The sequence below is a fragment of the Homo sapiens genome, chromosome 5 (assembly GCF_000001405.40).
Source record: "Homo sapiens chromosome 5, GRCh38.p14 Primary Assembly".
Classification (NCBI taxonomy): domain Eukaryota; kingdom Metazoa; phylum Chordata; class Mammalia; order Primates; family Hominidae; genus Homo; species Homo sapiens.
The window spans coordinates 108,711,638-108,739,085 of record NC_000005.10 but is presented as its reverse complement, the minus strand read 5'-3'; the positions used below and the strand labels follow the sequence as shown (position 1 = coordinate 108,739,085).

Sequence of the window (27,448 nt, the reverse complement as noted above, 5' to 3'; positions counted from 1 at the left end):
AAGTGATCCACCCACCTAGGCCTCCCAAAGTGCTGGGATTACAGGTGTGAGCCACCACGCCCAGCCTCACTTCACCTTTGGTTGAAAAAAAATCTGCCCATAAGTGGACTTGTGCAGTTCTAACCCATGTTGTTCAAGGATCAACTATATATTATTTGGTGAAATGTCTGTTCAAAGCTTTTGCCCATTTTAAAAATTTGGTTGTTGTTTTGAAAAGAAAGAAAACTCGAAGGACTCAAACAACATGATTTCAAGACTCATTATAAAGCCATAGTAATCAAGAGAGTGAGGTATTGGTAAAAACATAGGCAACCAGATCAATGGAACAGAATAAAGATCCAGAAATACACCCATGCAAATATGGTCAGTAGATTATTGGCAAAGGTGCAAAGATAATTCAGTGGAGAAGGGCAGTCTTTTTAAAAAATAGTGCTGGAACAATTGGACACTGACATAGAACCCATATCTCTCACCTATACAAAAATTAACTCAAAAATTGATCACAGAGACCTAAATGCAAAATGTAAAATGATAAAACTTTAAAAAAGAAAACACAGAAAATCTTTGTGACCTTCAGTTAAGGAAAGAGTTCTTAAATACTGCATCAAAAACACAATACATAAAAGAAAAAAAATCGGTAAATTTGACTTGATCAAATTTTTAAAATTTTGCTCTGTGAAAGATACTGTCAAGAGAATGAAAAAGTAACCCACAGAAAATATCTGTAAATCATTATTACTTTCCTGTAGAGAAATATACTTTGATAAATATACCCTAATATTCTAATCCCCTTTGTAACTAAAAACCTGTATACATTTGCCAGACACTGTATATGTATTAGATATGCTGCAGGGTGTTACCCAGGAATGAAATAAAACTTTACTAAAACAAATAATAAGTACCACAGATGGCATCATCTTACAGATCCCAAATTGCTCACATCATGTCTTAGCCCTGGGGAGGTCATATCTAATGAGGGCAGGGCTGGAAAGGAACATGTATTTTATAACTGTAGATAATGTCTTGAGTGGATCTGTGAATATGTATTTCTCTAAGCATACAGTTATATAAAGTTAAAAAACATTTTAAAAAATTCTAAATCATAATTTTATTTTGTTGAAATAGCAACTCTATTGTTTCATTTTGTTGCCACATTTACTGTTGTATTATTGCTTTCTTTCCTTTTTTTTTTTTTTTTTTTTTTGAGACAGAGTCTCACCCTGTCACCCAGGCTGGAGTGGAGTGGTGCAATCTCAGCTCACTGCAACCTCTGCCTCCCAAGTTCAAGCAATTCTCCTGCCTCAGCCTCCTGAGTAGCTGGGATTACAGGCACACGCCACCACACCCAGCTAATTTTTTGTATCTTTAGCAGAGACGGGATTTCACCATGTTGGCCAGGCTGGTCTTGAACTCCTGTCCTCATGATCCGCCTGCCTCAGCCTCCCAAGGTGCTGGGATTCCAGGTGTGAGCCACTGTGCCCAACTGCTAAGTATATTTTATAACTATAATTTGTCATTTGGATTGATGAAAAAGCTTCATACAAGAGATCAGGCAAGGCCAGGCGTGGTGGCTCACGCCTGTAACCCCAGAATTTGGGAGACTGAGGCGGAGTTGAGAACAGCTTGAGGTCACCTGAGGTCAGGAGTTTGAGACCAGCTTGGCCAACATGGCAAAACCCTGTCTCTACTAAAAATACAAACATTAGACAAGTGTGGTGGTGGGCGCCTGTAATCCCAGCTACCAGAATTGCTTGAACCCGGGAGGCAGAGGTTGCAGTGAGCCAAGATGGTGCCACTGCACTCCAGCTTGGGAGAAAGAGCAAGACTCAGTCTCAAAAAAAAAAAAAAAAAAAAAAGAGAGGGAGGAGGCAAAATATGTATCTCAGTAGTTTGTATCTGGTATGTTTTGGCTCTGTGTCCCTGCCGACCCCACCATTCTCATTTCGCATTGTAGTCCCCATAATCCCCACGAGGCCAGGGTGGGACCTGGTGGGAGGTGATTTCCCTCATGGGGGTGGTTTCCCTCATGCTGTTCTCGTGATAGTGAGTTCTGACAAGATCTGATGGTTTTATAGTGTTTAACGGTTCCTCATATGCATACGTACACTCTCTCTCTCTCTCACCTACTGCCAGGTAAGACGTAGCTGCTTCCCCTTCCACCATGACTGTAAGTTTTCTGAGGCCTCCCCAGCCATGCAGAACTGTGAGTGAATTAAACCTCTTTTCTTTATACATTATCCAGTCTCAGGTATTTCTTTATAGCAGTGTGAAAATCGACAAATAAAGTATCTGATTGCATTTCCAATTCTAAGTTTAAAAGAAAGAAATTGAGATTATATTTTTATATAATATTATGTACTTTATTTTATTCACTCTGTTTTTTACTTCCTTTTATTTCTATGGTCACTTTCAAGAAAAACAATTGAATTTGTTCTTACTTGAAATTGATAGTCTACTTTGTAACATCATGATTGTCAATGAGAAGAAATTGAACAAGTGAAGGTCCCTAAACTCTATATATTAAAAAAAATTAGTTCATCATAAAGTATTAACCTGGGAGATTTTCTCCAAATAAGAGAGATAGAAATTATGTTCTTATGGAAAGGTCTTCCCTTTCCATCATTATAATTTCATTGTTATTTAGGAATTATGTTTCATTCACACAAGAAAGAATTACTTTCTAATTGGATTTAATGGGCTTTTGTTTTTAAGTAAATACTTTGAAATTCATATTGCATTGTACCTTTGTTCATTTTCTAAGTAGCACTTTAATATTAAATGTCTAACATGTATCAGCAGTAAATTTTCCATTTCAGCAGGGAAAGAGATATTAAACAATTAAGTAAGGAAGGCCAATTCAGCGCTAAATTCTATGTAGCAAAGTAATGTGGGAAAGATTGCGTGTTGCCAGGTGCAAGGAGGGCCCTTGCTAACATTAGATGAGGAGTCTGAGAGAAGCCCTCTCTTCAGAAGGTAACACTTGAAATAAGACTTGAAGGCAAAGACAGAGCAGATCTGAGGGCAAAGTGTTCTAGATAGCAGTTACAGATTACAGTCCACGAGTTGGGAATGATTCAGAATGTTCCAGGCACAGAAAGAAGATCAGCATGACTGGAGCTAACGAACCAACCAGAAAGGAAACAGGCCAGATAAGCTGATGATTGATCAGGGCTTTATGCGATAAGAGAAAGATTCTGTGTTATATTCTGACTGCAATGAGAAGGCAGCACAGTTTTAAGCTGGCGAATAACATGCTCAATTTTACTTTTTAAACAAAGATCATTTATGCTGCTGCATGGAAAATAAATTGTGGGATAGCAAGAGGGGAAAAATCAGGAGGCTGCTGAAGTGCTCGAGAAGGAGGTAATAGTGATTCCTGTCATGGTAACAATGGGATCTAGAGAAGAGAAGGAACTCAGGATATGTTAAGAAATGTTTTCATAATTACCTTGCTATTGGAAAATAATAGATTCTATTATACATAAACATAATTTTACCAAAAATATTGTAGATTTAATTAAACTCAATCCAACAATGATTGATTACATAATATATCCCAGGTTTTCTGCCTGTTGTATTACTCATACAGTATCCCTGCCCTCCAGAAATGCAGTATTATATTTGTGAAAATATCTGTGGTAATGAAATAATCTCCAACAAAGAAGAATTTTAAAAATGTATTTTAAAGAGTCTTAAAAAATTAAAAATAAAAATAAATTATCTCAGGCTATCTTTAAAAGAAATAATGAAACTTTAGGAAAAGGGATCTGTACTTGACTCGCTCTTTCTCTCCAATTGGTTAGCAGGTGAAGAGATTCAGATACCTTTTCTTTTTGGTATATTGAAAATTCAGTTATAAATAATCATTGGGAACTCTGGAGTCCAATGTATAAAATTAAAACATAGTATTTCTTAAGCAATCTTTAGAAAGAGGCTCTACAGCATGTTCTGGAAAGAATGGAAACTTGGCATTACAATATGCTCCCCGTCCCCAAAAAGTTATGCTGTTATGGGCTAAATTGTGCCCCGCCACCCACCCTCCCCCGGCCGGCAATTCATATGTTGAAGCCCTAATTTCTCTACCTTACAATGTGACTATATTGGGATATAGGACATTTGAAAAGGTGATTAAGTTAAAATGAAATAGTTAGCATGTGACTGATTTCCTTATAAGAAGAGGAAATTTAGATACACAGACTCTAGGGATGCTCACATACAGAAGAAAGATCACATGAGGACACAGAGAAGGTGCCCATCTGCAAGCCCAGAGGCCTCAGAGAAAACCAATCCTGCCAACACCTTGATCTTGGACTTCTAGTCTCCAGAACTATGATAAAATAAATTTCTGTTATTTAAGTCACCCAGTCTGTGCTACTTTGTTGTAGCAGCCTCAGCTAACTAATACATATACCAAGGCATTTATTCATACTCATAATGTCAGCTCAATAATATTTTTAATATAAAAGAAACATAGTCTTTTAAGATTGGAAACAAATGAAAACAAAGCAAAACAGAAAAATTAAGAAATGAATGTAACAGATGTGTCCAGACGTATTAGACCCAGCATCCAAGCCATAGTAACATGATACTTGCAAGAGACAATGTCAAGGGATGATAACATGTCACTGAAGGAAATTTATCACATACAAGCTAAAATCAGACAATGTTAGCGGCTTAGTGTATTAGAGGCCACTCCAATAGTCTCAGTTTAATTTACTCACCTTTTTACAAGCCCTGTCACCAAATACAGCCACATTCCGAGGCACTCGGCTTCAATACATGAATTTTGGGAGGACACAATTCAGTCAGTAACGCTTACACCTTGGGAGCTGAAGTACCTTTTTTTTTGGTGTTTTAATGTTCATGGAAGAACATGCATTTTCTTTGACAAAACTTGTCCTATTTTTCTTCCCTGAATATATAATATTTGCTGCATAGCATATTACCACAAACTTAGTGGCTTAGAATAATACTCATTTATTATCCCATATTTCTGTAGGTCAACAGTTCGGGTAACACATAGTTGGGCCCTCTGCATCAGTCTCACAAGGCTGCCATCAAGGGTTCTACTCAGGCTATGATGTCACTCAAGCTCCAGGTCTTCCATACTCACACAGGCTGTTGGCAAAATTTAGTCCCATGCAGCTATAGAACTCATGGTGGCCTTCATCTTCTGCAAAGCAAGCAGGTAAGCAATTCTCTGCCTTTGAATCTTTGCCAAGATAATGTAACCATGGGAGTGAAATCCCATCATATGCACAAGTTGCGTGCATATTCAAGCGGGGGAGATTATACCAAGTGTGTGTGTCAATTGGGCAGGAATTTTGGGAGCTGCCTTACATGTGTGGTGTGGTTTGTTTCTTTTTATTTTTTGAGATGGGGGTCTTGCTATGTTGCCCAGGCTGGTCTCGAACTCCTGGGCTTAAGCAATCCTCCTCCCTCAGCCTCCTGAGTAGCTGGGATTATAAGTACAGTGCCACCCTGGGGTCTCTTGGGGGCCATCTTAAAATTCTGCCTATCACAATAAGATAATAGAACAGTAATTATAATTACAGCATAATACATAATTTCATAATTGAAATTACATAAGTAATTTCAGTGTGATGAGTTTAAAAGTGTTTGTTAGGAATTTTCTAGTGGCAAATATCAGAAACCCAACTTAAGCACCTTTAGGCAAACAGGGCAAAGTATTTGAAAGATGTCGTGTATTTGGAAGAAGTGTGAATAACCACAGTGCTAGAACGAGATACTTAGGGATACAGAAACAACCAAACCAAGGCCTAGCCGGTAGCCATGACTCACTTTCTCTCTCTCCTATTTTTTTCTTATCCCTCAGTTTTACTCTTTCGTATTCTTCCTGTTACATGGCACGTACACATAAACATGCTAACAAACTCTGTAGAACAGTTTCTTCTATGTGGCACTGACAGTATTCAAGTTTCATAATTCATAGATGCTACTATGGAGGAGGGAAAAAATCTTATCAATTCCAGTTTGAAAAATTCTAGAGAAGGACTGTGATTGGCTCCTCTCTCATATATCAAATATCAAGATCAGACTCAGCGCTGTGCCTCACAGCTGTAATCCCAGTACTTTGGGAGGCTGAGGTGGATGGATTGCTTGAGCCCAAAAGTTCATGACCAGCCTGGGCAACATGGTGAAACCTGCCTCTACTAAAAACACAAAAATTAGCAGGGTGTGCTGGGGTACCCCTATGGTCCCAGCTAATCGGGAGGCTGAGGCCAGAGGACTACTTGAGCCTGGGAGGTCGCAGCTGCAGTGAGCTATGATCACTAGTCACTCCAGCCTGGGTGACAGAATAAGACCCTGTCAGAAAAGAAAAGAAAAGGAAGGGAAGGGGAACGGGGCAAAGAAAAGGGAAGAAAAGGGAAGGGAAGAAAAGGGAAGGGAAGGGAAGGAAAAGGAAGGGGAGGGGAGGGGGGAATTGAGATCAGTCAAGTGTCAACAGTTGGCAGAATCATGCAAAAACATGACAGCTTCCACTGGAACTACATAGTTGAAGTGGCACAAAAGCACTTCTCAAGGGATGGGTGCTAATCTCTACCGTTGATTTCTGCTACAAGCAGCCACAGGGCTGCTTATGGCTTACTAACATGGGACAGGTAGTGTGGGGATTCTATACAGAGTTTTCTTTTTTCTTTCTTTCTTTTTTTTTTTTTTGAGACAGTCTCGCTCTGTCACCCAGACTGGAGTACAGTGTCGTGATCTTAGCTCACTGCAACCTCCACCTCCTGGGTTCAAGTGATTCTCCTGCCTCAGCCTCCTGAGTAACTGGGACTACAGGTGTGCACCACCACGCCCTGCTATTTTTTTTTTTTTTTGTATTTTCAGTAGAGATGGGGTTTCACCATGTTGGCCAGGCTGGTCTCAAACTCCTGATCTCAAGTGATCCGTCCACCTTGGCCTCCCAAAGTGCTGGGATTACAGGCGTGAGCCATGTCACCTGGCCCTCTATACAGACTTTGTATTTCAAAACTTTAGTACCCTTCGGCCGCGTGTGGTGGCTCATGCCTGTAATCCCAACCCTTTGGGCGGCTGAGGCGGGTGGATCACGAGGTCAGGAGTTCAAGAACTGCCTGGGCAAGATGGTGAAACCTCGTCTCTACTAAAAATACAAAAATTACCTGGGCATGGTGGCGGGCGCCTGTAATCCCAGCTACTTGGGAGGCTAAGGCAGAGAACTGCTTGAACCCAGGAGGCAGGGGTTGCAGTGAGCCAAGATCGTACCACTGCTCTCCAGGCTGGGTGACAGAGCAAGACTCTGTATCAAAAACAAAAAACAAAAAAACTTTAGTACCCTTTGATTATTAAATTTTTTCTAAAAGATTGTTTATAAGTTATATTTTCATAATTAAGATATACTAAATGTACTAGAAGTACTCACTATTTGTAGCAGTTTATCATGGAGTTTACAGTTGGATTTAAGGGAATCCATGTGCCTCAAAACTGTATGGGAAATTGGACAACTATATGATACAGATGCATGTAACAAGGCACAGTTTATTGGGGGAAGTGGTTAAGACTCAAAGTTCTGGCTCTAGAGCAACCCTGCTTGGATTAAGTCGTAGCTCAGTCACTTGCTACCTGGATAATCCTACTCAGGTCACATAACCTGTATACTTCAGCTTTCCTCATCTGTAAAATAAGGATAATAATAAAAACAACTCTGAAGGTTTGTCTTGAAAATAAGTACGCTAATATGTATAAAGGGTTTAGAATGGTAAGAGTTTAATAAACATTAGCTATTGTTATTTCAACAGCACTCTTTTGATTCCTAGTAGACTCCAAATGCCAAAAAGGTTAAAAATAACAGATTTGAAGAAATCTTTTTGTAAATTCTTTTTAAAATAAACTGACTAGTCACATCCACATGTATCTGTTTTCTGACTCTGGATGTTCATGTACTAGGCTTCAAAACCATGATGAAGCAATAATGACTGTGAAGATTATCTGTGTGAGAAAGACCTACCCAAAACTCTTATAAGCAAGCTTTGATTATAAAGAAGCCAAGGCATTCTTTATAAATCCTTTTCCTTGCAGAGTAAGTCTGAGCTTTTGCTGCCTATTTAATAATGATAATCAATGCCCACATTTAGAAACATCTCTTTAGTCCTTAGTCCATCATCAATGGTATGAAATACACAGAAATTACTTTCCTGATTCATAGATTGCATTTAGTCACTAATAATCTTTTGCTTCATCTCTTCTTCCTCAACTCTGGGGGAATGACTCAAAAGGTCCAAAGGGGTCTATGGGCCAGTGTTTCACTTCCTTCTAAACAAATGCCAGCTGGGCTTCTGCTTCTTCACAGGCTTTTGTCAAAGAATGTATCATATGCACTACTGGTTCCTAATAAAAACGAATATATAGTGAGCACTTATTTTATGCTCAGATATATAACAACTGCTTTTACACACACCATCTCATTTAAGTCTTATAAAAAACCTGTGGGGTTGGCACTGGTATTATCCTTATTTACAGATGTAAAAAATGAGGCAGATAGAGGTCAAATCCATGATTCACAGTCTCACAGCTTTTTAGTGTAGGTATCGTAATTTGAATCCAGGTAATCGAATGCAATGGCCACATTCCTTAACCATTATCTATGCTGCCTTGCCAGCTAGGTCTGTTAATTCAGAAGGAGAAGAGTGATTGTGAACATAAGGATGACCAACATCCATGCAAAATGACAAAACAGTAGAGAAGATCAGATCTTTTAAAGTAAAAAATAACTTGCGTGATAGACAAACCCAAGTTTGAAAACTTGCTCCACAACTTTCCAGCTACATGACCTTGAGGAAATTACTTAACTAAGTCTTAGTAATCTAGTTTTAAAACAAGGGCAATGACAGCACCAAGTTCACAAGGTGGTTGTGAGGATTAAATGGCATAATGCATGTAAAATGTCTATCAAGGTGGCTGGCATTTAATAAACACTGTATAAGTGTTGCTTACTGTTATTACTATTTTCAGTATTTTATTCTTCTTGGGCTTCTCAGCTTCAGACACCCTTTTTCTTTCTGTCTTTGTGGTCCAAGTACAGAGCTGTGTTGAACTAGGGTTGAATCTTACAAGCTCCAGGCAACCAGATCTTCACTTTCTTCCTGCAATTCTATTTGCCACCCACTATATCACTACTGATTTAGTGCCAGATTATAGATTTTCATCCACACATTTTAATTTAGAACCTTCCCTTTTATCTGGTTTTCAAGCATATTGTGTTAAAATTCCCAAATGATACCTTCAGAGTTTGCTACAAAGTCCTTATGATAGCTTTTAGAAAACTTAGTTGTTCTTAGGGGAACAATCATTGCTTTCCATTTCGTTACTGAATAGAAAATCTAGAAGAACAATATCAACTTTCAAATGAAATTATATGCCTGGAAGGGGAGTATAGATACAAAAAAAGGAGAGCACCTCATTATCACTCTTTCAAGCTGCTGGAGTGAAACTTGAGTCATTGCAAATTCCAACATCAAAAACTCTCTTGGATATACTAAAGAACATCATTATGCACATAGCGATAAAATGAGGACGTTATTAGAGGGAGCCACTACGAATAAAAGATTGCGAAATCAGATTTCTAAAATGAATAATACAATAAGCTCGTTAATAAGTATTGCGAAATAGCTCTAAAATTTCCAGCTGAAAGTGAATTCCTTGGGGTTTTTCACCAGCCAGGGGCATCAACTTTTTTTTTTTTCTTCTTAAATTACCCATACCTCTTTGCTGGCCCATGCGAGAATTTTCTATCTATAACTGTCTAAACACAAAGCAACATTTGATTTCGGTATTCATATTTATCAGAGTACTCTTCAAAATAAGTGAAATTAGGCTTCTTTTTAAGCTGGGGAACCTGCAAACGGCTTTTGAATGAAGAATAAGCATATGAAGAAGTCATGCTTCACCATTTTGCTGTAATCTTCTAAACTGCCTTCATGACGTAGAAACTTCTAATTGCAGAACATTTAAGAATTATTGCATGTCACCTCAATAAACCTAATCATTGAAGTTTCTTTTTTAGCTGATAGTAGTACATTTGGAAATACACATACCCGTCAGTTCATTTTCTCTGGCCATTTCCGTTTACCTCATACAGGCGTTTCAAGTGCGATCTGTCGCAGTCACATTCAGAGATTTTGGCCCTAAGAACTGCTCATGTTTAATGTTTGTAGTTCCAACGGTTTAACTTTTTTTCTCTCTCTCTTTTTTTTTTGGTGTGTAATTATAAATGTCTGAATTAATTAGTTGAGTAGGCTACAGGGTAGATAATAGAGCTAGTGTTAGATCCTTTTTAAAGGTTTTTAGGTCTCTATGAAGGGGGGGCGGGGAAAGGCAGGCGGGGAGTCCCCACACCCCACACTCTGCCCAAAGGTTAGGAAATTGCGGTCAGGGGTTCCTTGCCTTGGCTTCCACCACCTGAAGGCGTCTACAGCAATAATTAGAATCGAAACCAAGGAAACAAGAAATAGCTGAAAATAAAACACGAACTAAGAAATGGTAGTTTATTTTCTTTTTGCCATGCAGCAAAGGAGGGTCGAATGTAAAGCTGATACAGTTGCTGGCTGAGCTTTTCCCGCGGCAGCCAGTGCGTGCTTCCTCCACTTCTTCGAGACTTCTCCGTGCTCCTGCCCCACCTCCCAGGCTGAAGATTCATGCAGGCCCTGCGCTTAGCCCAGACTCTGGCCAGGCCCGGCCCAGCCCGAAGGTGGGCGGCTCCCGGCGCAGGGCGGCCCAGCCCCAACCACTGAGAGGAGGACCCTCCGGCGTCCTAGAGTGGCCGCAGGCCGCGGCGTCGGGTTGGAAAACCAGGAGAGCATGGAGCTTTTTCGCTGGTCCGGCGCGGTCTCTTGCGTTCCTGTGGCGGGCACCTGACTCCCCATGCCCGAGTACTGTCCTCAGGCGGAACGGCGTCTGCAGCGAGGAGCGGGGTTCCAGCAGGCTCGGCTGACGCGGTCCCTGGCATTTCCCGTGCTGGCCCTGGGTCGCCCTCGATGCTGCTTCCCGCTGGGAGCCTCCTTCTGACGGCGGAAAGGAGCTTCACCTGGGGCGGCCGGCGGGGAACGGAGAAGAATCCACCGGGGAAGTGGACGGGGCTGGCTCCCGGGCCTGGCGCTGCGGCTCTCGGGCCGTCAGACCTCCCGCGGGTTGCGTCACTTTCCTCGGTTTTCTAGACAGCAGTTGTGGGGTTGAATCCTTGCCGTGGTTTTGTAAGAATTAAATGAGATAATGAACGCGAACACCAATCATTGCTCTTTGTTGGGTGCTTCCTGTGGGCCTGGCAATATTAACAACACGAGCTCATTCATGCATTCATTTGCTACTCAGTGACTTTCCTGTCAATACTGCAAGGTGCTGGAGATGAGCCCCCACTCTTTGGTCAGTAAAACTGCCAAGATCACCGACCTTGTGAAGACATTTGAGGATGAGAGGTTGGTTGGAGCCTGGACGTGGAGACAGACTCTAAATAGTTAACTACAAGACACATGTAATTACAACTTTGAGAGCTTATAGCGGGAGGCCCTTTTGGGAAGGGGGTGGAGATGGAGAAGAGGAAGAAAGAAAGGGCTTCCCTGAGGAAGTAATATTGCAGCTGTGACCTGACAGATGAGGCCGAACCAGCTAGACTCGTGTTTCAGGCCTCGGGAATAGCATAAGGACTCCAGCTGGCTCCTTCCGGGTTGAGTCCTTATGCTGAAATTGGTATTTGGCACACACCAGTAGTAGAACGCCACTCAATGCCTTATTCTCTTCCCCTTCTCTCAGCTCTGTCCCCTCCACATAGTAGGACAATGAAACTGGTAACTATTTTTGGTCCGAATAGTCCTTCCATTATTATCTGTTATAGTCCACCATGCAGGTTCTTCCTAACTCCTTTTGATCAAAATAGATATTTTTGAAAATGTGAAGAAAGCAGTATCGTATCTTGTATGGTTTCTCATTGCCTTCTAAGTCAGATATAAACAACGAACTTGCTTGAAATGTTCTCTATCAGACCAAGGACCCATATTTAATTCCAACTTACACTCTGCTACACCCTTTCGCTAAATTCTTTAGTTGATGTTAACTGCATTTGGAACCCTGTATTCAGCGTTGAATTGCACATTCTGAAGCAATTGTGTTCTTACTCAGCACGCTCATTTCTGTATCCCAAGTATCTCCCTGCCTCCAGAACATGTTTACTCTTTAACCACTTCCTGATAATACAGTAGGCTACCATTACTCTAAATAGTTGCAGTTATTGAATATAGGCACATTTTTAAATTATAAGAATCCTATCCCAATCCAAGGTACAATTTGCTGATCGCATACTGATTCATTTTCCTCCCACTCTGGGTCCTTTCATCTGCTGTTCTCCCAGTCCAGATGCCAGCCAGGCATTTGAGAACCATCTGATGGTAACAGGATGGAGGCTGACTCAACTTCACTCCACCACCTGCCTTCCTGCCTTCAGGGAGATTTTGTACATAGCTTATCCTTTAAGTTCTTCTGCTTGTTACTGCTCACAGCACTGTGATTCTACTTTAGGCACCTTCTGTACATTCATATTCATTACTTTTTTTCTCCTCTTTCCTGTTTATGGTTAGAAAGGTGCTTCACCAATCTATTTTAGAACCAAAGAAGAGATCAAATTATAATAACATGAGCATAGTATTATGCTATAGGATACTAGTAAGAAACTCAGTTCCTCCTCTTTGTTCCCATAATATTTTGTGAATATGTCTATGATAGTATTTAATACATTGCATTATGACTTGTTGTTTGTGTCATTCTCCACTTATTAATTAGACTTCTTTGAGGATAGAGATTGAGTTTTTAAATTTGTTTCTTCATTTGTTCTTTTACTTAGCTCAATGCCTGGCAAAAAAACAAATCATTGTTAAATCAGTTTTTAGGTGAAATAGGGATAAGTGGGAGGCTAACTTATCCAGTCTTTGAAAATGCCTAGCGATCCCCTTCAGAATCCTCACACATCATCATCAATCTTCTTACCCTGTAAATAAATATACTTTTCTCACACATTAAAGATATTTGTAAAATAAATTTATTCAGTTTTTTTTTCTATTGCAGTGATATGTGTGTGTATATATGTATATAGTTGTATTTAAACTAAACAGGAGAAAAGGAGCAAGCCTGTGAAGTATTATTTCCGCATTTACCAGCAAGACAATTATCTCAGAAGATTAAAATGTGAGAGATACAACTAGTGTTCAAACCCTGCTCTTTCTGATGCCACAGTCAATGTTCTTTCTTTGGTAGAAACCAAACTGTATTTTTCTTATTGTTCAAGTAATGTAATTAACTATGGAAAAATAAGAAATTACAGATTAACAAAATAAAGCAAAAGTAAGTAAAATTCATCCATGATTTCATCATTCTGAGCTAATAATTGTTAACATTTTTGTGAATACATATACATACACACACATTACATATGCACAGTTGTTTGGGGTTTTTTACAAAAAGGGAATCACACTAATTTTAATCTTTTATAATCTACTTTTTTGCTTAACAATATGTGATAACTCCTTGATTCATTTATTCATTTATTCTAAGGTTTTTCATCCTGGGCACTGTTTACATATCGGGCCAGGTACTTCCTTGTTATGGAGGGTGATAAAAATTCTTTGCTTGACCAAACTTTATTCAGGCTCCTGAACCTTCTCCTAGGCCTGTCTGTATACTTTCTTGTAAAATCAGATTTAGCAACAAACTGTTGAGTCAGTTTAGCAACTGCCCCCCATCACCCGCATCCTTGATATATGATCACCATCAATATGTTCCTCATCCTCCAACATCCCTTAGACGAAATCTAATAACCCTAGCCTGTCATAAGCAAGAATCCTGTTAGGTTGTGTTAGCCAGAACCCTCCTTACCCTTGATGCTTCCTCTTAGCAGTTGTCCATTCACTTCTCCTACCCTGCTCCTTCTCTATAAATTCCCACTTGCCCCATGCTATATACAGAGTTGAGCACAATCTCTCTCCCCAACTGCAAAATCTTATTGCAATAGTCCCTATACCTATGGCAATGATCTTGAATAAAGTCCTCCTTGCCATGCTTTAGCAAGTGTCATTGATTTCTTTTACAGGGCCTGTCCTATGCAATGTACAATGCTTAACAGCATCCCTGGCCTTTATCCACTATATGCCATTAGTACTACCCCTTCTTCATTGTGGCAAACATACATGTCTCCAGACGTTGCCAAATGTCTCCTGGAGGACAAAATTGTCCCTGGTTGAGGACACTGATTTATTCTATATTACATTAATCAATTTTCTTTTCTTGACACTTGCCCACCCAATGACTATTAGAAACTCAATAGTAAATGCTTTGCTTTTTGCATTTTGTTCTAGAAATAGTTAATATCAAATTAGCAGAAGTTTTACAAAATTAGATGTTTTAAACTCCTTATTAAACTCTGAAATAATGCTACCAGACTCTGGAATGTTCTTTCGTCTTAGAATGTGCCCTCTTTATGACCTATGGATTTGTTGTTTAAAATTTAAAAGTTAGCTTTGAGTGAATGAAGCATAAATTATCTTAAAGCAAAGGTATAGTAACATTATGAAAAAGAGTATTAAGACTGATAGCCTTTGGGAGAAGTGAATTTGCTAAATGAGTGACTTTGATCAAATTTTTATGCACAGATATATGTACTTCGTAGATTTTTATCATTGCAATGTCTTTTGTATCTTTGATTTTCAAAAGATTTCTAAAATCAGGACATTCTGACACAAAAAATTCTTGAACATCTTTCAAAGTTTAAAAAGTCAGAAGTTTTTAGAAGCTGTTATATTTTACTTTTTAAAAAATGTTTTTATTGTTAAATGAAAACATATTATAATAATTGCATAAAAACATAAGTATGCTGTTTAATGAATTACTATAATAGGAACACTGTATAATCACCAATCAAGGTCAAGAAGTAGAATATTGGTAGGGCTCAGAAGCACCCCTACCTCCATGCCCATCCCCATCCACAGCTTCCTCTCTTCTTAAGTGTAGTCCCTTCCTGACATTTATGGGTAATACGTAGTCACATTTTTGTTCTGTTTATTCTCTATTTTTTATTTTTATTTTTATTTTAGAGACAGGGTCTCAATCTGCCACCCAGCCTGGAGTGCACTGGCACCATCATAGCTCACTGCTGATTCAAACTCCTAGGCTCAAGCAACTCTCCATCTCAGCCTCCCAAGTAGCTGGGATTACAGGTATGAGCCACCATGCCTGGTCCTTTTTTATCTTTTACCACAAAAATGTGCATCTGTTTACACTAGAGTTTAGTTTTCCTTGTTTTTGAAGTTTATATAAATGAAATTATACACTGCGTGGTCTTTTCTCTGTAGCTTAAAATTATGTTTATGAGATTCATCTGTATCATTGCATACATTACATTTTATTTGTTTGCACTGTTGTATTGTTTTACATTCTGTGAATGTATCACTACCGTTGATGAACATTTGCTTGTTTCTGGTTTTGGTCAATGACAATGCCTGTTGATACACATGTGCATACATTTTTGTTGCGTATGTATCTAGAATTAAATTGGTGCATTAAAGAGAACACATTCTACAAATTTATAGCAAAATACCAAACTGTTTCCCAAAGTGGCTCTCCACTTATATCTCCACCAGCAGTCTATGAGAGTTCTTGAATTTTCATATTCTTGGCAACACTTGGTATTTTTAGTCTTTTTTATATATAGCCATTCTGGTGGGTTTGTAGTGGCTTTAATTTGTATTTTCCTGATTCATAATGAGGTAGAGCACCTTTTCATGTGTTTATGAAAAGATATCCTCTTTTTTGACATCTGGTCAAAATGTATCCTACATATCTGGTCAAGTTTCTCGACCATTTTTCTATTGAACTTACCTTCGATCTTTTTCTTAATATTTTGTAGTAAATATTTTCTCACTATGAGTTAGTTGTGTTTCATTTCACTTCATGACTTGTTTCTTTTTAGTTTTCAACTTTTCTAAGTACTCCGTATTAGGAGTATCTCTTATGCATAACATTTAATTAGATTTTGTGGCATAATTCTTCTGAGAGTCGTTTTGTTTTCATAAGCAAATTTATTGATATAATAGACATCCCGTTTGTGTTTCTTAGTTTTTATCTTTTATTATATGACTGATACCTTTTTATGTTTGTATTTTATATTTATATGTGTTCCTTCTAAAAATGTAAAGAATTGCATTCAACATTGTTTTTAGGCTAGATGTTCCATAACTTTTTCTTTCTTCTTTCTTTCTTTTTATTTTCTTTTTTGTTGTTGTTGTTGTTGAGACAGGGTCTCCCTCTGTCACCCAGGCTGAAGTGCAGAGAAGTGATCATGGCTCACTGCAGCCTCAACCTTCTGGGCTCAAGCAATCCTCCCACCTCAGCCTCCCGAGTAGCTGTGACTACAGGTGTGTGCCACCACACCCAGCTAATTTTTTTTCTTTCATTTTTCATAGATACAAGGTTTCACCATGTTGGCCAGGCTTGTCTCAAACTCTTGACCTCAAGTGATCCATTTGCCTCAGCTTCCCAAATGGCTGGGATTACAGGTGTGAGCCACCGTGCCTGGCCCATAACTTTCTATAAAATATTTTATTCTCTATTTCTTTTAAATATGCATACTATGCATATATATATATCTCCCCACTATGAACAATAGGTCCTTTATATTTCTACTCTCTGCCCTCTAAAACCTGAGTTTAATTAAACTGTATTTTTTATATTCTTCTAATGTTTACTTCTGTATCTTGAAATGTGGTTCTATATTTATCACTTGCTCTGTCAGCTTTAAAACCTAACTTTGTAACCTCAGCTATCACATAGAGAAAATCAACATGTTACATACCTCCCACCTTTTTACCCTTTTCTCCTCTCCTCTTTTGTGAATTATAAATTTTTCTATATTTACTATAGCCCTCATGGCTGTTTTATTCTTAGTTTTAAGTTAAATGGAATCACTGCTTTCCACTGGTACCATTGGAAATAATATTAGTGTCCCAGTGTTGTTAGGAGGATCAAATGAAAAAGAATCAGCATTCGTTAAATTTTCCTGAGAATTTAGTGTATTGCAGGTCCTGTGCCAGGTATCTGGGAATACAGAGTGCAACAACATTGTCTCTGCTTTTAGGGAGCTCCCATGTTCATGGAAGTGACAAAGAATTTCAGTCCAGTGTGATAAGAGGTGTGATAGAGATAAGTACCATGTGCTCCACACCAGAGAGAAGGTGTTCCTAACTCAAGCTTGGGGATGGGGCAATGATCGGATTCCTGGAGGAGGTGCTACTGAGTTGTGTCTTGAAGCATGAATAAGATATGGCAGACTAATAAAGGTATGAAAGGAATTCTTGATCTAGACAACAGCAATGGCAGAGACATGAGAAAGAATCATGTTTAGAAATTTGTAGTAATCCTGAACATCTGGAGTTAAGCTAGCGTGTGAATGGGGAAAAGAGAAGTGAGGGAACTGAAGAAATAGGCAAGAGGGCATTCATGAGGGCTGTATGGGACCACTGTGGGGTCTTAAGTATCAAAGTGAATGAATGGATTTGTATTTCTGACGAACATTGGCAGCAGCAAAGGTGTGGACTCAGTGAAGCCAGACTGGAGGAATAAGATGAGTTGGAAAGTCACCACTCTCATAACGAGGTGATTCTTTGTAAGACCGACACCAAGACTTTAAATCCTTCATGAGGAGAGACTGAAAATGGACTAGAATGAGATTGGTTCAGGCCAACTTCCACTGAGCTATTGATGTCCCATAAAAGAGGGTATTTAAAATGAAGTTACCCAGACTTTAGGAAATGAACTGATAATGGCCCATGTATTCTGATGTGATTATTTTTGGGAACCGGATCATATCCCTATTTGGATGGGGGGTGAGGGGAGGAATGGGGGATAGAGGTTTTTGTCTACAAGGAATGTCAGTCATACTGAGAATGAAAACTGTCAGGTTTCAACCGGGTAAGGGGAAAATTTCCTCCTGTTTCTGGTGCCAGAGTCAGTTTGGAATAAAGTCAAAAGTATGGAGAGTCCTGGGGCATTTCCAGAGGGGAAGCCACCCCTGGACAGGCAGATACTGGCTAAGAATAAGATCTCTGGGACCTCTGCATGGGTCTGGGCCTGTGTAGGTTGCAAGTAACTACCTCACTCTGCTTCCTTTCTTTTATTCCTAAACCTGCAGTGAAGTTGTGTCAAAAGTTACAGTCTGGACTCAGTTATACTGTGGGGAATTCAGGAAGGGCCTATCCCATGCTTCAGAAAGAAATGCAAAGGAGAGAGCAGTAAACTTCCTCCTTGAGACCAGGGTGTTGGTAACAGAAGTCATCTGCAGAAAGCCACACTCACCTGAGCCATCATTGTGATCTTACAGAAAGATATGGCAGCCTTAGAGCCTTAGATGGCACATGGTCCCTGGAGACCTGCTGAAGAGACCATATGATGGAATCCTGAGAGTTCTCAGAAGCACCTGGTGAGTCATCTGATGAGGGCTGATTTCTGGAAATTAGTCAGGATTAAAGCCATTACACTTTGTGCAGTAAGAAAAAGTGTTTCCTTATTTTATAACCACAGGATAGTGTGATCTTGCACAATGGGGTCACACAATCATCCATGAAAGCAAGGATGAGGGCCAAATAATGCAGAGGGAGTGATGGAGGAATACTGAAGACAGAAAATCATCAGGGTATGGTAATATTGAAATCTGGGCTAAACATTTGAAAATCACAATCATAGAGATGAAAGTGGAGGCTATAGGTATAGATAATATTGCCAGGAAGACAGTAGTGAGAAAGTACTCCATAAACAGTAAAACATTTTCTAAATGTTAGCAATTAATTTCACATGCTAACAAAGTAGTCACATTATTTTAGAAGCACATCTCATACATTTTTATTTAGCACGAATATATATGTATAGATATACGTGTGTGTATGTACATGCTGTTTCTATCTTATCTTTTTAAATCCTAACCTTTTAAAGACAAAAACCTTTAGTAAGTCCATTAAAGCTGTTGATAAATTTATTTAGTGTTAGAAGAAGGTCTCTCAACCTTGGTAGTATTATTTTGGTGTGGGATTGGATAATCCTTTCATGTGGGGGATTGTCCTATGTATTGCAGGCTGTTTAGAGGTATCCCTGGCTTCTCTACCCATTAAATGCTGGTGCCTCTACTCCAACTCTTACCTGGTCCAGTTAGTGTGACAAATTAAAATGTCTCCAGACATTGCCAAATGTCCCCTGGAGGGCAACATCAACCCTGCTTGAGAACCATTAGTGGACTATACATTGCCATTAAACAGTGCTAAATATGAGATTAAAAAAAATTTTTTTTTTGAGACGGAGTTTCGCTCTTTCTCCCAGGCTGGAGTGCCGTGATGCAATCTTGGCTCACTGCAACTTCCTCTTTCTGGGTTCAAGCGATTCTCCTGCCTCAGCCTCCCAAGTAGCTGGGACTACAGGCTCATACCACCATGCCCGGCTAATTTTTGTATTTTTAGTAGAGATGGGATTTCACCATGTTGGCCAGGCTGGTCTCGAATTCCTGACCTCATGATCTCCCTGCCTCGGCCTCCCAAAGTGCTGGGATTACAGGCATGAGGCACCACGCCTAGCCGAGATTAAAATATTTTAAAACAATGAATTTTATAATGGGAACATCTATTCAACATTGCTGTAATCATTTCTAATTTCATCTGTTCTGTATACAATGCTCAGGCATTAATAAGTTTCAAGCTGAAAGTCCTAAGGAGCGTATTAAAGGTAGTATCAGCAGAACAATTAATTTGCCTCAAAGTGATTTGAAAATTTGTCAGTATTCAGAGGAACCCCAAGTTGAAGTGTGATAATGCTTACTTGGTAAGCCTTTCCTTTTTCAGCAGGTTAAGAGTTTAAACAAGTGACAAGAAGATTATTTTTATTTCTTAACAAAATAAATGTTTAAAACATCTGTAAGAACTTTTGAATTACCATTTAGAGTTTAGTAACAGATATATTAAGCAGAAATCATTCTGTGCCATCCGTTTATAGTTGGACCACGAAAGCAACTCACTTGTAGCTTGATTGAATAATTCTGAATTAGGTTTGAAAATAAGACATTTTGTCAAACATATCACATAACTCAGAATTTATTTATAATTTATTCTGTACTTCTCACAATTACCTTGATTTAGAGAGAAGTTATCATAACAAACAAACAGGTGTTAGAAAAAAAATGGCCTCCTGCTGTGAGAGTCTGCTTGTATTTATGATTTTCTTTTCTTCTAGTTTAACCTCACTTCCAGTTTCCTGCCATTATCCAGAAAAGGAAGACCACTAATTAAGAGGTAAATGGCAGTTTTATATTTTCATGGTTAAATAACACAGACTTTTAGTGCTTAAAGGAACTAGTGTTATACCCTTCATTATGAACACAAGAAAATGAGTTCTAGAATAAGTGTCCATAGCTTCAGTGCCACATATTAATAGGGAGTCAGAAAGCCTCCTCAGATAACATGTGAAAGAAGTGTGCCCAAACACTACAGAAGACTGGAGAACAGGACTGTCTTGTAACATGACAGAAAGCATGTCAATTTGGGAGGCAGAAGGACTGCAATTCAAATGGCTCTATACCTATTAGCTGGCTCTACCCCTAAATGGCTGGATTATCGGAGGCAAATTGGTTAACTTATCAGGTTCTCAGTTTCTACATTTGAAAAATGAGGATAGTGACAACTAATTTTCAGTTGTTGGAGAATTAGAAATAATATATGAATAATGTATATTGTAGATCCAAACACTAATCACAGCTGAGTTGTGTAGTAAATGCTGATTAATTTTAAATAGTATTCCTAAGTATAAAAATAACATACATGTAATATATAATATAGATAAAAGCTATATTTATATATAGATAAAAGTTTATTTATATTTTGATATATATAAGCTTTTTTATATATTTTAATTTTAATGTAATTGATCAGTATTCTCCTTTAAGTAATATACACATTTGTTTTGTGTGTGTGTAAATTAAATATATTTGTTTTCCTGTTTCAATCTTCTCTTTGGTTTTTGAATTTAAGAAATGGGTTTGAATGTATTTATTTAAGTGGGCTGATGGTATATCACATGTAAACTTATTTTAATAAAGAGAGAACATATGGTTTTCATTCTTTTATAAAATTGTGAAATATATATACATAAGAATGTATGAAATGTATATACACTATATAAATAGAAATAACAAAGTGAACATTAAGTATCTACTGTTTCTGATACAAAATAAAACACTGCCAATAATTGGAAGCTCCTTTTGTGCCTTTTCGTGAACACCGCTCCTTCCCTTCCGAAGGAAACAGCTACACTCATTTTAATGATAATCATTTTCTTGCTTCATTTTAATATTCACTCAACCTGTGTATGCATCCCTAAATGACCGATTGTATCTGTTTTTGAACTGTGTATAATAGAATCATAATGTATATATTCTGTTTTTATTGACTTTTATCACAATATTTTGTGAGATTCACACATGTTGCTAGATGTCCACTTTGCTTTCTGTATGGGGTCCCATTGTATGAGTATGCCACTACCTTTTCTACTACAATGCATATCTTAGTTATCTCCAGCTTTTCCATATGACAAACCAGGCTGCCATGAATGTTCCAATGTATGATTCTTAGTGTACATGCACAAGAATCCTTCTAGAGCACATACCCAGGAGGATGAATGAGGGTAAAAGTATGAGTGGTTCAGTCTATTAAGTATTGCTAACCTCTTTGCCAATGAAATTGTACTAATTAATACTTCTACCAATATGGATAGGAGTTTCCAATGTTAACTATATTTGATATTGTCAGGTTTGAGGTTTTAATTTGCATCTTTTTGATTACTTGTCAAATTGAGCATCTTGTTTGCATTAGCTTTTAATTTCCTCTTTTGTAAAGTCCCTGTTCTAGTCATCTGCCCATTTTTCTAGTAGGCTGTATATCTTGTTCTATTGTTTAATAGTTCTTTAAATATTCTCTATATTGGTCCCTTGTCAATATCTGACACATTTCTTTGTCTAATTTGTAGCTCATCTTTTCATTCTCTTTATCATGTTTAAGTATTTTAGTTTGTTTGTTTTTGTTTTTGTTTGAGACAGTATCTCACTCGCCCAGGCTAGAGTGCAGCGGCATAATCGTAGCTCACTGCAGCCTGGAACTCCTGGGCTCAAGTGATTCTCCCACCTCAGCCTCCTGAGTACCTGAGACCACAGGCATGCGCCACAATGCCCAACTAATTTTTTAAATTTTTTGTAGGTACAGGGTTTCACTATCTTGCCCAGGTTGGTCTCAAACTCCTGGCCTTAAACAATCCTCCTACCTCGGCCTCTCAAAGTGCTGGGATTATAGGCATAAGCCACTGTGCCTGGCCAGAAGTTCCAAATTAAATGTAACCAGATAATCCTTCTTTTCCTTTATGATTAATGCCTTTGTGCCTCATTTGAGGAATCTTTCCTATCAAAGACTATAATACTTTTTGCACATTGTTTGAAAAATTTTTTCTTAGGTCAAAATCATAGGATGTTCTCTTACATTTACTTCAAAGTATTCATATTTTCCCCCTCACATTTAGGTCTTTAATTCACCTAAAATCAATTTTAGGTGAATTAAATTATACTGTGAGGTAGGGAGTCAAAAAATTTTCCCCCACATGGATAATATATTTTTTCTGCATCATTTATTAAAGTCCATCTTCTACCTATTGATCTATGATGTGACTTCTATTATGTATTAGGTTTCCATATATGTGTGAATTTATGGGCACTTGTTCTGATTCTTTAGTAATGTCTCAATTATCATAGATTTATAATGAGACTTGAGAATTCTCACCTAAGGATCTTGTACTTTGTTCTTCAAAACTGTCTTGGCATTGTTCATTTGTTTTGTCTGGTTTTTTATTGTATAATTTAGAATCAGCTTATAAAGTCCTATGAAATACTCTTGGTATTTAAAAAAACTGCATTGAATTTACAGATTAATTTGTGGGAAATTGACATTATAAGAATATTGAAACTACTTACTCATAAACACGGTATTGCTCTCTGTTTAGAAAATGTATATTTTTTCATAAAGATCTTACACATTGTTATAAATGAACATTGCATCCCCCTAACCCTCCAAATTCATATGTCAAAACCTAACTTCCATTGTAATGGTATTTGGAAGTGGGGCCTTGGGGAGGTGATTAGGTTATAGGGGTGGAACTTTCATGACTGGGATTAGGGCCCTTATAAGGACAGACATGCTGTCTCTTGGCCATGTGAGGATAAAAGGAGACAGCTGTCTACAAACCAGAAAGAGGCCCCTACCAAAACATCAAATCCGTCAGCACCTTGATCTTAGCTTCCCAGCCCTTCAAATGGTGAGAAATAAGTATCTGTTGTTGAAGCCACACAGTCCAGGGTATCTTGTTAGAGCAGCCCTAGTGGATGAAGACACACATGTTCTGTAGAGTCATTTCTATATGCCCATGTCAGACACCTTGTGTTTGCCTCTGCATGTCTACTCGCCACTCTTCTCTGCTTTCTCGTCTCTGCTTTGTTCTTTATTCTGGGAGGAGGCTTACTTGTAAGGACTATATCCATGGGCTCCTATCCTCTCTGGCTGTGATTGTATTCATCCAAAATGGAGCTTCAGCAGTAAATCAGAGAATGAATAGGAGGAGACTGAGGTCGGTGTATCACTGATGACTGCCTCTCTCACAAGGTTACCTTGGGTTGGCTATGTTCCTACACTGAGGGTTACTTCTCTGAAAGCAGTATAACTCTCTTTTTTGCTGGGTTCTTCTCTTCATCCCTATGGGCGGAATGATAACAGCTTCTTAAAAGATAAAGAATAGAAGTCCAAGGATTGGACATTAAGGGTTATTTAAGGTTTTGTCCCGGAAGAATTAAAAAAAACCATTTTTCTTAAGTATGAGATGGTGCCATATTTCACATGATATAGAAATGTAGGAGAAATAAACACATGTGAAAAGCCTCTTAAAATAATAAGAATAATCGCTGAACACAAACTATATGCCTTGCTTTGTGCTAGGTGCTTTACATATTTTATCTCAGTCGATCTTTATGATAATCTTATTAGGTAGGTTTTATTGTCCCTTTTCACAAGTGAGGTTTTAAAAATGATTTCTAAGGTCACCAAAGCTAGTTAGTAAATAATAGAAGCAGGAGTTTAACTTAGGTCTGCCTAATTCCAAATCCATTCTATTAATTTTCTTGCTGTTCTGTGTACATTATACCATTAAATTAATACTCAAAGAATTATGTTCTTTTAGGACGTAGTTTCAGTTAAGTGATCAGGGTGTAGTTTCAGAGGAGTGATCTGGCTGGATGATCCTAAGAGATTAAATAATGAAGTGGCAAGGAAATAAAGATGGTAGTGGCACACCAGTTATTTGATAAATCTAATAATAAAAGGTTGGGGCTCAATGGTATGATTTGCTATTCATCTCATTTTTTCCACAAATTCTATACCACACAAAGTCTAACTTTTCTCACCCTGATAAATGCTTACTGATCCTCCCTGAGGAGTATTCTACATTGTTCTAACAGTGATGCCCCAGTTTTACAGGGGTTTCTTATCCTCATAGGGAAAAAGAAGCTAGACAATAAGCTTCTTGGGGACAGAGCATCTCATTCATCTCTGTGTTCCAATCACAGAGCCTAGTTTGCTTCGAACTAAACATTATGATTTGGGCTGTACTATTTGAGTCTTGCTGCAGGGCTTGTTTATACTCATTAACATTAATACAGTGACTGTCTTCCAGGTCACCTTGTCCCAGCAACACAGAAAAAGATATTTATGCCTGCCGTCCTTCTGGCTTTCCTTCCTAATAGCTCTCTTACCTAATATTTAAGTACAGACAGGGGCCATTTAACAAATGGCCATTTAACAAAAACCATTGAAGAAGTTTGGGGGAATAATCAGCTTTAACCCTGGATCACAACTCTCAAAAGAGAGCAATCACTGCTATCACAGGAAACAGAGAAATTCTCTGAGGATAGTAGTCAAAATGTAGAATGAAAACTAGTGCCCAGATTCATGGTGACCAGGTAATGAAATAGGTAACATTTTTTCCTCTCCATCTCAGATGAACAAAGACCAAGAAGAATTTAGGTCAGCCTATCTCTTACTCATGGCAGGCCTCATAAGAAAGGTATGGAACGTCCTAAAGAACAGAACACAGTTCAGCTAACTAAACTTTGCTTATTTCTTTTCATATATTTTTCTTGTTTTTATAGTATTTCACTTTTTTAATTTTTAATTTTTGTGGGTATATGGTAGGTGTAAACATTTATGGGTATAGCATTCTTCCTTCAGCTCACATACTTTATGTTTTTAACATGTTTCTTAAAAATATCTTTACTGTAGAAAGTCACAATAATAACAGTTTAACAACAATTATTAAATCATGGTACACAAGAAGTGTTATTCAAATAATTGGGAAAAGTAAATATGGAAAATAAGAACTGTGAAGACTATAGTAAAAGTCTACTTGCAAAAGATCACATCTATCCAACTAACAAGAGGGGAAAGGAATCAGCAGAATATAAGTTGTACTTATGAAAGATTAATAATGGTAATAATAATGACAATTACAGGTCAACACTCCTACTTTGAGAATTGAAGTAAATGGGAAGCCATGAAAGACTGCTAAGTATAGAACAAAAATCTCCTATTTCTGGTTTAAACTTTGGAAAGTGAATTTAAAAAATAAAAAAAGAGTGATTTACCATAGCATGGCTGAGAGAAAGTGATGCTTTGAACAAGAACTCTGGCTGCTCGTTTTAGTCTCCATAATTGAATGGCATGATAAAGCATAGTACATGAAGAAAATATGTGATCTAAGTGATGTTACAGAGGTTTTTACAAGATTTAGAAGCCCAAAACTATAAGGTAAAAGATAGTTCAGGGTGAAGTTAGATGTCTTATGTGCTTAATAATAAAGAGAATATGAGCTATTTTTAAGTTTGGGAGAAAGTTTTCCAAGGCTAAGAATGTCTCATATTTCATTTGGCATGTCAGCTAGATGGATTTCCAAATAAGTAAAATATTAGATACTTTGTAATCTGTTTCCTTACTGCAAGCACTTTTTTCTCTTGAAGGTAGCCTGTTAAATTTGGGTGAAAAGATATTTATTCCTAAATAAAAGAGAAGAAAAGTTTAAAATTAATTCCATCTTACGGAAAAAAAACTATTAGTTGGTAAAAATTTGCTTGCAAAATATTGTAAAACTTAGTGTAAATAGTGATAAGGTCTAGTTTAATATAAATTCTAAAACAGTTTTCTTTGCTATTCATCTGGTTCATCTAAATGTTACTCTATTGACAACGTAGTTTTGAATTATAATAGTAGCACAATAAGAAAATTATCACAACAAAATGGAAATGAAAAGTGAATTCACACTTTATAATATTTTACATTGACTTGACCTGACATGATTCTCAATTTTAATACAGAAAAGTTAAAATTAGATCTCTAGTCCAGGACTGGACAGAAAATAGAAGATCATTAGCCAATCTAAAATGAAAATATATCCGATATATAATGTCTCAATGAAAACAAATGACTATTATTCCAAGCTCGGTAAAATAAAAACACTCCTATTTATATATTTATGCTCCCTTTCTCAGGCATTGCAGCCTTTAGCATCTCATAAATCCTAGCTAATTACATGTCAAAAGGAAAGGTTAATTATAAATTTAATATGCTTCCCTTTTCTATCTAATGAATCAACATCACACAATGGAGAATGCTAGGGGACTAGAAGAGAAAGGCAAATACTTTAAAATAGCTGCTTTAGGTTCCATTTGTGAAGAACTTCCTAAACAATGATGCTGCCCCTTAATGGAAAAGGCTGCCTCGCTAGGCAGGCTATTTATTCAACAACCATTTATTGAGCGTCAACTATGTTCCAGGCATACTATGTTAGGATCTGGGTTGTATAAGGAACAAATATGCCTAAGACAATATTTTTGCTCCCAAGTAACTCACAACCCTGGAGTAATGAATGCCTGTTTTTGGAGCTCTTGTTCCTGCCGAAGCCTGTATGATACATGACCCCTTAGCTGCTGTCAAAGTAGTCCCTTACTGGAATGGCTGGTTGGGCTACAGACCTTGGGAGTTCCTTCTTGCCAAAGAGTTTTTGGTTTACTTCCAAAAAGAACTGTTAGACTTTTCTAAATACCATAGGATTTTGTAAATTTAAAGCAACATGTAATAACTTAAATATATCAAATATGTTTAATATAACAGGATTATAATTTCTTTTTACAATTTGAAAGAGAATAACATGTCTTTGTTGATGTTCCCTAACTCAACAGAAGATCACTATGTTGTCAAAATTATCAGCATCATAATTTTGGCTGGTGATGCTAATATATTATGCTTCATTAAGCTGT

At 37.8% G+C, this 27,448-nt stretch overlaps 2 long non-coding RNA genes across 2 annotated transcripts, besides 3 other annotated features; both read left to right on the top strand.

Moving 5' to 3' along the window:
* On the top strand, window positions 10,825-11,261 carry LINC01023 (long intergenic non-protein coding RNA 1023). The gene has a single exon (NR_046368.1). It is a non-coding gene; the product is annotated as a long intergenic non-protein coding RNA 1023 (long non-coding RNA).
* Window positions 10,862-11,161: an enhancer, noted in NCBI's record as "active region_22877". NCBI's record gives its function as "activates an Ori minimal core promoter by ATAC-STARR-seq in GM12878 lymphoblastoid cells {active_cell/tissue: GM12878}" and the evidence as "EXISTENCE:reporter gene assay evidence [ECO:0000049][PMID:35858748]".
* Window positions 10,862-11,582: a biological region, named in NCBI's record as "NANOG-H3K27ac-H3K4me1 hESC enhancer GRCh37_chr5:108063205-108063786".
* Window positions 11,001-11,582: an enhancer, noted in NCBI's record as "NANOG-H3K27ac-H3K4me1 hESC enhancer chr5:108063205-108063786 (GRCh37/hg19 assembly coordinates)". NCBI's record gives its function as "activates a minimal SCP1, AML or CMV promoter by ChIP-STARR-seq in primed H9 embryonic stem cells {active_cell/tissue: H9 hESC(primed)}" and the evidence as "EXISTENCE:reporter gene assay evidence [ECO:0000049][PMID:30033119]".
* On the top strand, window positions 14,822-21,007 carry LOC107986440 (uncharacterized). The gene is made up of 4 exons (XR_001742836.2): window positions 14,822-15,236; window positions 17,153-17,354; window positions 18,395-18,493; window positions 20,287-21,007. It is a non-coding gene; the product is annotated as an uncharacterized LOC107986440 (long non-coding RNA).
* The last annotated feature ends 6,441 nt before the right edge of the window (window positions 21,008-27,448 follow it).